This window comes from Homo sapiens, chromosome 10 (assembly GCF_000001405.40).
Source record: "Homo sapiens chromosome 10, GRCh38.p14 Primary Assembly".
Classification (NCBI taxonomy): domain Eukaryota; kingdom Metazoa; phylum Chordata; class Mammalia; order Primates; family Hominidae; genus Homo; species Homo sapiens.
The window spans coordinates 29,312,543-29,324,280 of record NC_000010.11 but is presented as its reverse complement, the minus strand read 5'-3'; the positions used below and the strand labels follow the sequence as shown (position 1 = coordinate 29,324,280).

Sequence of the window (11,738 nt, the reverse complement as noted above, 5' to 3'; positions counted from 1 at the left end):
TTTGGATTATTAAACTTTAAGTAGCTTCTAAAACCACCCATTTAGCTGGGCCTACAGCTGGGAGTGATTAGATCAGCAAGCCCCCTCAAGCCAGCTTACCTGTGCAGCAGGTCCTTGTCCCGGAGCAGCCCTCTGTGTCTCCCACCGCATGACTGACAGGGGCTCTCACCCTGCCTGCCCATGAGAGGCACAGTGTGGCTTTAAATTATGCTAATGTCAGCCACGTGCAGTGGTTCATATCTGTAATCCCAGCACTTTGGGAGGCTGAGGTGGGAGGATCGCTTGAGCCTAGGAGTTCAAGACCAGCCTGGGCAACAACATGAGACCCCATACCTTTAAAAAATGTAAAAAAATTAGCCAGATGCAGTGGCATGCCTGTAGTCCTGTCTACGCGGGAGGATGGCTTGAGTCCTGGAGTTCAAGGCTGCAGTGAGCTATGATCGCATCACTGCCCTCCAGCCTGGGTGACAGAGCAAGACCCTGTCTCAATAAATAAATAAATGATAAAAAATGCCCATTTCCATTGCAGATTAAGTAAATAAGGGTCTCTGAAGGTGGGTCCCAGGCAGGAATATTTTTTTAAAGCTCTCAGGTGAGTCTGACCGCAGTCTGGAGCAGGAACCTTAGACTGAGGCGTGTGCTCTGAAAACTGTGGAAGGAAGTTCAAGAGGTGGCAGCAGGAACCGCAGTCCACCCCGCCAGCTGTGTCTTAGCTTCCAGAGAGAGAAACGGGTCCAGATAAACTCCTTCATGCAGCACTTAGCATGGGGTCACACATGAAGAATCAAGATTTTTTGGATGCTATTTAAAATAGATGAGGAATTTTTAATTTAGAACCAATTGGTGGCTTCCTGAGAGTGAGGAGGGGGCTGTGGGATTCCTGAAACTGAATTGTGTGTGTGCCAAATGAGCATTTTGCCAAAGAGGGGAGTGTATCGTTATTGTTGTTTTCAGGTTCTCAAAGGTTTCTTTAAGGAGTTTACAAAAGCGACCTTACTGATCCCTCCAAGAGCAGCCGCAGAGAAAACAGAGACAGTCCAGAATATTGGAACTGGAAGGAGCCTGGGGTTCATGACCTTGGTGGCAAATGACAGTGGCCTGATGGCCACATGCTCAGAGGTTTTGACTTTTTAGTCTGTGGGGAGGGCCGGGGCATTAGTATTTTTAAAAACTTCCCTGGACGATTCTCCTGTGCCGCCAGGGGTGAGAACCATCACAACTCACTATTTTTAGATGAGACTGGGGCCTAACAGATTCTCCTGCCAGCTTGCTCTGCTAGGAATACTGCTTACTGTCTGCTGTTTCTGGCTAAGTCAGTGTGACAAGCCCCACTCCACTTCTCTACCTTTTATCTCTCAGAAAGATCTTTCTTTTCTCTTTTTCTTTCTCTCCTTCCTTCCTTTTTTCCTTTTCCCTCCCTCCTTTTTCTCTCTCTCTCTTTCTTTCCCTCCCTCCCTCCCTCCCTCTCTTTCCTTCTTTCTCTTCCCCTCCCTCCCTCCCTCTCTTTCTTTCTCTTCCCCTCCCTCCCTCCCTCCCTTCCTTCCTTCCTTTCCTTCCCTCCCTTACTTATTGCTCAGAAAGGACAAGTAGCATTATTTTCCACCCTGATTAGAATACTTCCAGGGCTGGGATGAGGGTGAAGCCTTAGCACACAGTTTAAGGGGGTGTCCAAAAACTCAGGAGTCAAGATAAATAACATTTGAAGGCATTATTTTTTAAAAATCAAAATTAATGCAAAAACCCCATGATGAAGAAAATATCAAAATTTCAAAATAGGCCAGGCACGGCAGCTCATGCCTGTAATCCCAGCACTTTGGAAAGCCAAAGCTGACGAATCGTCTAAGGTCAGGAATTTGAGACCAGCCCACCAACATGGTGAAACCTTGTCTCTACTAAAAATAAAAATTAAAAAAAAAATACAAAAATTAGCCCAGTGTGGTGGCAGCCATCTGTAATCCTAGCTACTGGGGAGGCTGAGGCAGGAGAATGGCTTGAACTCAGGAGGCAGAGGTTGCGATGAGCCAAGATCATGCCATTGCACCCTAGCCTGGGCAACAAGAGTAAAACTCCATCTCAAAAAAAAAAAAAAAGAAAAAAATTTCAAAACGAAATGAAAATCACTCATAGTGCTGTGAAGAGCCACATTCAAACCTGGAGCAAAAGAAAAAGAAAAAAAAATCAGTAATATTGGTCCTGTCTTTGAAATGTTGACTTTTTGTTCATCATGGAGTTTTTGCATTAGTTTAATGCATCGCATATTGCAAATAGATCATGCATTAAAACCTTGTTGATCCTGATGACTGCGTGTTTTGGTGCTTCTTTCATTTCACACCTAGGAGAGTTTCCCACGGTTCTCGCCTTGAGACTGTGGCCACTGAGCGGGGACCTGTGAGAGGAACAAGAAGCTGCTGGCTGTGCCAGAAACAGGTTAGATTCTGGGCGTGTGGGGAACAGGTTAGATCCCAGGTGTGCGGGGCTGGGACAGAGTGAGCAGGGGTGTGGGGGAAGTGGGGGTGGGAGGAGGGCTCTATTACATATATGTTTTACTATAAATGTGGGGGGAAATTTTGCTTTCTTATCTGCTGGCACCAAAATTTTTCTTACAGGTGGGATCGAACTTCTTTTTAAGAGCACTTTTTCATCAACTGCTTAAAGAGAAGATAAAACTTTGAGCACCTGAATAATTAGGAGCCAAGATGATAAAAAGAAACAAACAAACAAAAAACAGAATAAAAGAAAACAGGTGTTTGGTCAGAGAGAAAAAAGAAGAGGAAAAACCCCGGAAGGGGAGCAGGAGGAGAAGCAACACTTGGGGAACAGGAATTTCTCTTGTCTGAGTTTTTTGCATTGGAAATCTAGATCTTTCTGTCTTCCTAAACCTTCTAAGGAAAGTCCATATAAATATCTTCTGTGGAAGGTTTAATTTTATTTCTGTATTGTCCAAATGAAGAAAAGAGACCCCTTTCCTGTCAGTGACACAATAGCAAGGAGAGGAGAGGATTTTTAAATGAACGAATTCAGCAGAAGCAGAGGCTCAGAGCCAGAGAAAAGCATGAAAATGTAAGCTTTTTAGGTCTCAGGAATCTTGCAGAAGACCTTGGGCTTCCCTTATAAAAGGTTGAGTCATTCTGCCCAGGATGTTGAGGGGACAGGGCCACAGCTGATGTGTGGGTGACCCCTTAGCGTGGCTCAGTATAATCAGACAGCACCTATACTTTATTGGTTTGTAATTGCATAGATTTTGAGTTTTCTTGTGCAATATCACCTTCATATTTCTTCATATTTCTGTGGTCTCGTCATCTGTCTCTTGCTATCAAGAAAAATGACTGGCTGGGTGCAGTGGCTCACACTTGTAATCCCAGCTCTTTGGGAGGCCGAGGAGGGAGGATCACTGGAACCCAGGAGTTCGAGACCAGCCTGGGCAACATAGTGAGGTTCTATTACTACAAAAAATAGAAAAATTAGCTGGCCATGGTGGTTTGTGCCTGTAGTCCCAGCTACTCAGGAGGCTGAGGTGGGAAGATTGCTGGAGCCCAGGAATTCGAGGGTGCAGTGAGCTATGATTGTGCCACTGCACTCCAGCCTGGGCAGCAGAGTGAGACCTCAAGGCAAATCTGTAGGCTTCACGTCCTTACAGTGTCATACAGGGGCAAAAGCACTTTGTTCAACACACTCTTAACTATTGTTTAAAATTCCTAGACTTAGGGAAGTTATGTGTTAAGTTTTAGATTTTTCTTTGGTAGAGATGAAAATAATTTCTATCTGGCAGGAAAAACAAAAACAACTCCGTAGTTTATAGTTTATTTCCCTGTAAGATGTTAACTAGCCAGTAATCGTACCCTAACATTCCTTTTGTTAATTGCCCATAAATACCTAGCTCCTCAGATCTCTCTGAACTGGTATTAAGATCTTACTGATTCCTCATTAATTAGTGAGTGTGATAAAGTGTTTGACATGTGTTCATTTTATATTTGCATAAAGAGTCTTGGATTTAGCTTTTTGGAAATTGTGCTTTTGCCCTCTCTGGACTTGTAGACCTCAGGGTATAGCTGGTTCTCCTGCCCCTGCCTACAGAGAAAACCCAGAGCTGCAGAATCAACCAATTGGCTATGCTCACCATTTGCATAGCATAGTGCCTGGCACAGTTACTCACATATTTGGGGGTTTTTAAAATTGGTTTTAGTGGGCTTTTTTTTTTTTTTTTTTTGAGACAGGTTCTTGCTCTATCATGGCTCACTGCAGCCTTGAACTCTGGGCTCAGAAGATCCTCTTGTCTGAGCCTCCTCAATAGCTGGGACTACAGGTGTGAGTCACCATACCTGGCTAATTCTTTTAATTCTTTTTGTAGAGAGGGGGGTCTCGTCATGTTGCCCAGGCTGGTCTCAAACTCCTGTCCTCAAGAAATCCTCCCACCTCGGCTTCCCAAAGTGTTAGGATTACAAGCATGAGCCTCCGTGCCTGGCCTTTGAATACTTGCTGAGTGTTGTGTGTGTTCTGGCCTCTGTTGTCCCCAGGTTACTCTGATGATGAGGCTCCACTCTTGAGGTCCCTGTATTGACTCTCAGCTATCGGAGAGGAACGACTTCCTGAGTCTTCACTGTAGCCAGAAGGTGGGTGACCTTGATGTTCTTCTCCCAGTGAGGTGACGGAGAGGGGGCACTGTAGCCCAGGGGAAGCCTGTGCTCAGCAGGGTCCCGTTAAGTCTCTTACTCAGGGTTCATAACCTTGGTTGAGCATTAGAATTAACGGGGGAGTTAAAAAAATATCTGCATCAGGACCCTGCCTTCAGGGAGCCTGATTTAACTGAATTGAGCCAGGCCTGGCATCTGCATTTTTTGAAGTGTCCTGATGATCGCATTGTGCAGCCAGGGTTTGGAACCACAGTTCCAGCCCTGTCCCTCGACTGGCACAAGGGACCGTCCCTCCCGTTGTCTCTCCTCAAATGTGGTTACGTGAGCTGTGTTCAAAGGGCCTCCCAAGGGTGTTTTTCCCTGCGCTGCCGGCCCCATGTTGGTCTTCATGGTGGGCCCCGAGGAGCTCCAAAGTCCACAGAAAAATCCCAATTCCTCAAAGACTCTCATCTTACCAGCAATCTCCCCACCGCCCGCGCAGACTGCTCCATTGTAGATTTTTTCCTTTCCTCTTCTTTTTTCTCTTCTAAATTCTAAGTTCCTGGCAGCCACTAAAATGTCTCAGAAGCAGAAACTAGCTTTGATCGACTGTCAGCAGAGTCGAAAACTACAATTTTTTTAAAAAATAATTTTTCAAAATCTCCCTTCTCTAAAGTCCTTCTTGGGCACCCCCTGGAAGGCCTTTGGGCTGCCTTGTGCACATGACCCGCTTCCCTGGCCTCGGTCCCAGCCCGACCTCTCCTGCCCTCCCCTCTCCGCCCCTCCCCTCCTCTGTCCTTCCCACCCCCCTGCAAATTAATGTGGTGCTGCTGCTGAGAGAGTGGGTTCTGGAGCGGGCTTCTTTCTGGCCTCTCTGCCATCACAGGCTGGCAGCTTCAAAGCTCGAGTCATCCTGTTTCCGTCTGCCCCTGAGCCCGCGTGGCTTGGCTTCACCGCAGGGGTCAGAAGTGCAGCCTCAGCCGATGACAGCAGCCTGGCCCGGCTCGACAGCGACCCGGGGACACACACCCATCTGATGTCTCCCCTCCTCTGCTATTATCCCTCCCCTTCTCCGCTATTTTCTCTCCCCTTCTCCACCTCCTCCGTCCCCAAACAGTCCTTCCTCTGGAAAGATAAGGCCCTCTTCTCAGTTCCCGCATCCCTTCCCTTTTATGCCAGACAGAGGCAGCCCTTTGTGAAGGGGGGTACGGGCTTTTGCACAAATATTTAATCTCTTCCAATCTGCCCTTTTGCACTGCCTGTCAGTTCCTGGGGTTGGAACCACTCTGTTTGCTTTAGCTGGTAACAGGATACTGTTTTGAAAAGTGATGCTGAAGTCAGATTACTTATGAATCTGGGCTTTATTTTGCATGAATGCTTTCTCAAGGCAAGTATAGATTTCGTTTTTTCATCCTCACCAAGAATTATGTTGCCACTGGGGTTGTGGTCTTGAGCAGGCAGGGAAATCTAGCTGAGTTTAACTTTTTCCCTTGTAGTTTGGAATTCTTAGCAGCAGGGACCTGTGAAAATAAACAGCCTCAGTTTCAGGTGGTTTCTTTCAGCCACTATCTGCACCTTTGCTTTTTGAACATGCCTTTATTTCACATTAAAATGTAGTTTATCCTTTCAAAGTGTCTGCAGGTCCTGTTAGAAATCACCTATTACAAAATTATAGACAAAGAAAAATGCAGAAATAGGATAGTAATCACTTTTTTTTTTTTTTTAAAGAGACAGGGTCTCACTCTGTTTCCCAGTCTGGAGTGCGGTGCTGTCATTATAGCTCACTGTAACCTTGAACTTCCAGGCTCAATCGCTCCTCCCACCTCAGACTCCCAAGTAGCTGGGACTACAGGTGTGTGCCACCATCCCCAGGTAAATTAATCACTAATGTTTATTACAAGCCTGGTTTGTGCCAGGTGATTAACATGCTTCTAATACGGTTGCTAGTCCTTACCATGGCTGTGCATGGCAAATACTGTTATTCCCATTTTACAGGAAGTGAAACAGAGAGGTTCAGTGTCTTGTCTGTGCTCACACCACCAGTCACAGAGGAGTTGGGCTTAGCTCTGGCAGTCTCTCAAGGGCGCCCTGTCTACTCCCCACTCTGTTTGCACAGCTATTGGCTTTGCTCCATCACCAGGGACAGAAGACCTGGAGCTAAGGTAATGGCATGTTTAGGATTTTTCAGCACAGTACTGACTTAAAATGTTTTCTCTACGTACCAACCAAATGGTGAATGATGGATCCTAATTGTTGGGAAATTGTGATTGGCTTTCATACTTCTAGTCTTGATTTGACTTCTAAAGTAGCCAAGCAGTCCAGGGAAAGATGACCTCCATGAAGAACATGTGCTGAGGACTTCTGGTGAGGTTCAGAGGAGAATAAACAGTGAGAAGAGGAAGGGCTCTTTGCAAAACTTGGCCTAGAGCTCCAGGCCTGAAAATGGTACTGGACAACCTCAATATCCAACCATAGGGGAGAGAGGAAGTGAATCACAGGTCAGCGTAAGTAACTGTTATGCTGTTCCTATGTGTCATGTGTTAGAAAATATTAATGTGGGGAAAATCTTGTGTCGTATTAATTTAAAAATAGCTATAAAATTAGGTATCCTATAATTCCAACTTTATTAAAAATCTGTAAAAAACCTGGAAGAGGCTGGACATGATGGCTCATACCTTTAACCCCAGCAATTTGGAAGGCTGAGGTGGGAGGATCGCTTGAGCCCAGCACTTCAAGAACAGCTTGGGCAACATAGCAAGACCTTGTATTTACAAAAAAATTAAAAAGTTAGCTGCGAGTGGTGGCTCACGCCTGTAGTCCCAGCTACGTGGGAGGCTGAGGAGGGAGGCTCACTTGAGCCTGAAAGTTTGAGGCTGCAGTGAGCCAAGATCACGCCACTGCACTCTAGCCTAGCCTGGTGACAGAGTAAGACATTGCCTCTAAAAAAAAAAGAAAAAAAAAAAGGAAAAGGAAAAAGAAAAAGAAAAAAAAAACCTGGAAGAAAAAACATCAAAATATATTAATAGCAGTTATGGATTTTTTTCAGTTTTGGAAATTATTTTCTATCTATTCTACAAAGAATGTAGATTATTGTTATGAACAGAGCCTAACCAATAAGGTGAGTAAAACAATGTCTCCATTCAAAACACAGCGTTTCTTTTGGGTTACATCAGTGAGGAGGCCCCAGTGGTAAAAACTGTGCAAACTGCAGCCTGGTGTAAAGAAAGATTCGTTGCTTCTCTTCTCTCTCCTGCTCTCCAGCAAGACTCTCTTCATTAGCTTCTGACCTTGGGCTTCCTCTTCTCTTTCTCCTGTTACTGGAGGATCAGTTTAAACCAAAGTGACTGCTGAATCTGTGAATCGGAACAGTTTCTGAGTGTCCCCTGTTCTATTTCCCTGCACTTGTGGAATCAGATGAGAGAAGGGAGAAAAATGAGGGAAAGAATTACCTGCTCAAGGCAGAGTGCTGTGAAGCTGCCTTCCTGCCCTCAAGGAGCCCCATTTTGTTCCAGAAGCTTCTACTGTGCCCACAGTTCCTCCCAGATCCAGATCCTAAGCTCTCCCTGGCCATGACTCCTCTGCAAGCTGGATGTGTGAATTTCCTTCCCCTGACATCGCTGTGTGTAAAGAACTGCTTGCAGCCCAAGCGCTGGGGGATGGCGATGTCTGTCCTCAAGCAGTCGGACCCTTCAAGGCAGAAGCACTGCAGAGGAAGCCTGGCAACCTGGAGAAGCATCACCGGGGGGCTGAGCAGGGCTGGAGTGGGGCTATTTGGCCTATGTTGGAAGACATTTTCATGCTTTAAACTTTTTTTTTTTTTTTGAGACAGTGTTTCACTCTGTTGCCCAGACTGGAGCGCGGTGGTACGGTCAGAGCTCACTGCAGCCTTGACCTTCAAGGCTCAAGTGATCCTCCCACCTCAGCCTCCCAAGTAGCTGGGACCACAGGCACAGGCCACCACACCCGGCTAATCTGTTTTATTTTTTGTAGAGATGGGATCTCACTCTGTTGCCCATGCTGGTCTCAAACTCCTGGGCTCAAGGGATCCTCCCACCTCGGCAAAGTGTTAGGATTACAGGCATGAGCCACTGCACCCGAGCCCTTAAACTTTTTATTTTTATGGTATTTATTTATTTATTTATTTATTTTTATTTATTTTTGAGATGGAGTCTCAATCTGCTGCCCAGGCTGGAGTGCAGTGATGCAATCTCGGCTCCCTGCAACCTCCGCCTCAGTGTTCAAGCAATTTGCATGCCTCAGCCTCCAGAGTAGCTAGGATTACAGGCACTCACCACCATGCCTGTCTAATTTTTTTGTATTTTTAGTAGAGATGGGGTTTCACCATGTTGGGCAGGATGGTCTCGAACTCCTGACCTCAGGTGATCCGCCCACCTTGGCCTACCAAAGTGCTGGGATTACAGGCGTGAGCCACTGCGCCCGGCCTAAATTTTTTAAATCAAAAAAATATAGTGTATTTCTAGTTGGAAAGAGTAGTTCCTGTTTATTGACAGTTCCAGTTTTAGACATCCAGAGCATTTTCCTTCTATTTTGGAGACACAGAGGAAATCTTCCTGGGTCTCTTGATGAAGGCTTTATTTTTTTAAATTCACCTTGAAGAGACTAAATTGTTCCTGCAGATCTTTCAGGGGCTGGCTTAGGGTTTGTGCCATATTTGAGACACTCAAGGAAGTGGCTGTGTGGAACACAGGTGAAGGGCTCAGGCACTCCCTGTTCGTAAAGGAACTAGGACACGTTCTGTCACTGAGTTCTGAAGATCCCCGCAGGGCAGCAGGGGCCTCTTGGATTCTCTGCCATTGCGCTGTGGCCCCTGGGCGATAGTTACCCCTTCCGTATCTCAGGGACGTGTATATGGAGTGAAGTTTTCATTCCCCTATATCCCAAGATTGTTGTGAGGAGCGTATGAAATAATAAACATGAACTTGATTTGAAAACAAAAATGTTCTAGATGCAAGGTCTTATTTGTAAACTTTCTGTGATTCCACATGTGTCCAGTGGTACAAAAAACCAACATCAAATTTTTTAATTAATTTTTTTAAGAGACAGGGCCTCACTCGGTCATCCAGGCTGGAGTGCAGTGGCTAGTTCATAGTTCACTGAAGCCTCAAACTCCTGGGCTCAAGCGATCCTCCCACCTCAACCTCCTGAGTAGCTGGAACTACAGGTGTGCACCACCACACGCAGCTAATCTTTGTACTTTTTGTAGACATGGGGTCTCACTGTGTTGCCCAGGCTGGTCTCAAGTGATCCTCCCGTCTTGGCCTCCTGCAGTGCTGGCCAACATCAAATATTTTTGAATGTTAACTATTATGTGTTTAGCACTGCAGCAGGGATTGTGGAAATATAGCAGTGAAGGACATGGTCCAGGCCTCAAAGAGCTTACAGGTTGGATGAGGACACTAATCCCCAGTCACCTAATCCTACAGCACACACCAGCCATGTGTTCAGAGGCAAGAGCTTTAGGGGTTAGAGGAGCTGGGAGCTTGTGTTGGCTGGGCCAGGCTTGAATAGGCTGCAGGGGAGTGGCACAACCTCCATGTATGGGAAAAACCAAGAGCAAGGACACCTGAGGGGAAATGATATACTGGGTATAAAAGGCATCAAGGGAAAATCACAGACCAGACCAGACCAGAAAGCATCGAGGAACAACAGGGAACAAGTTGGGATTCAAAGAGCCAGATGCTGGGGGAGTGGGAGGTGTCCCAAGAATCAGGCAGAGCTGAGTCCCCACAGAAAGAATGTACCCACATAAGCCAATCACTATCCCCTAATACCCAATGGTCTGCTCAGTGTATCTGGTAACCAGCAGATAATGTGGCCACGAGGAGTAAATGAAAATCTACTTCCAAGTGTCTTAGAAACTATAAAGGGGAATATGAGTGTGGGTTTTTCTGAAATATGCTTTTGTTAAATAAAGATAACTCAGGCATAGAAGTATTCATGTCCTCTTGAATTTCTGAAGGCTTTAATTATGGAAAATTATCTGGGAAAATGTATTCTTTTCATCCTAAATTATTCTTTATAGAAATAAATCAAACATGGGGGAAGGGGAAGAGTAGGATTGCATGCTTAGAAATCTTGTGAGTTTTGCAAAAAGATAGATGAGTCTAATGTTAGGACAGCCAATGTCTTTTTACCTTAAATTTTAAAACACTTATTTTTGGAGTTGGTTTAAAAAAAATATTTCCCCCAGTCTTTGAATGGCTGGTGCCAGGTTCATGCTAACTTAGCTCATAAATAGGTGCCGTTGGTTTTAATGAAGCAGAAATTTGGCTAAGAATGGGGCTGCAAGGCAGATGACTAACAGGACAATAATAATGAAAAATGCATATTTATGGCCTTCTGTAAGCACAGATTATTGATTTAGTGCAGCTTAATGGATTCTACATTTTTCAAATTTTCTTCAGCTATCTTATAAAATTACTTTTCAATTCTTAGATGGGGTTCAAAAGGTTTTTTCCCTCAGGGTTTATAATGCCTGTTAAATTGTCCCAGGATGACATGTATGTTTAGAAATATATAACATGTTTATTTATTTATTTAGGCAAGTAGCGGTTAGGCGTTCTTAAAGCCTCTGCATGCAAGGCAAGCCGGTGGGCAGGAAAGGAGCCATCAGTTGAGGCCTGGGGAGTTGGCAGTAAGAGCATATTGAAGGGTTATTTAGGCGCTGTCACAGTATCCATCAGTCTCATCAGTGGAGACTTTCTTCTAAGTGGGAAACTTACTTGTTGGCATAACCAATTCTCCAACAAACATCAATTGAAGGCATTTTCCAGGTCAAATTGCATTCAACATGAGCCTACTACCTTCACCTAAATTTAGAACAAGACAGCTCCAACCAGCTCTGCCCCAGCAGAACAGAGGCATGTGGATTGATAATGGGCAAGAGAAAACCCAGCAGGTGCCACAGAACCACCCCGCCATGGGAGCCAGGAGGGGGTGCCATCCCTGTGCGGAGCAGAAGGCATCCTGGGAATATCGCTTTGGGGTCTGAGATGCTCAGCTCACTGCCATGTCACCAGACTTCCATCAGAGGGTCACCAAGTTCCTAGCCATACGAATAAAATCTGCACGTCTAAGGTTGAAAACAACTTTGTCATGGGGTTGTGA

At 45.4% G+C, this 11,738-nt stretch overlaps 1 protein-coding gene and 1 long non-coding RNA gene across 3 annotated transcripts in view; one reads left to right on the top strand and one right to left on the bottom strand.

Annotated features, from left to right (window-relative positions):
- Nucleotides 1–5,952: 5,952 nt before the first annotated feature.
- Nucleotides 5,953–11,738, bottom strand: part of LYZL1 (lysozyme like 1) — a 29,259-nt gene continuing 23,473 nt past the window's right edge. The window contains exons 5-6 of one of the 2 annotated variants that reach the window (XR_428650.2): nt 6,833–6,971; nt 5,953–6,130 (exon numbers count right to left, since the gene is read on the bottom strand). Coding sequence is in view for 1 of the 2 variants with exons in the window: in XM_005252627.4 (XP_005252684.1) it covers nt 6,088–6,130 (43 nt within the window). In the remaining variant the exon portion in view is untranslated. The remainder of the gene's footprint in view (nt 6,131–6,832; nt 6,972–11,738) is intronic. The other variant, XM_005252627.4, reaches the window with a different exon arrangement.
- On the top strand, nt 6,617–11,719 carry LOC124902400 (uncharacterized). The gene is made up of 2 exons (XR_007062098.1): nt 6,617–6,772; nt 11,405–11,719. It is a non-coding gene; the product is annotated as an uncharacterized LOC124902400 (long non-coding RNA).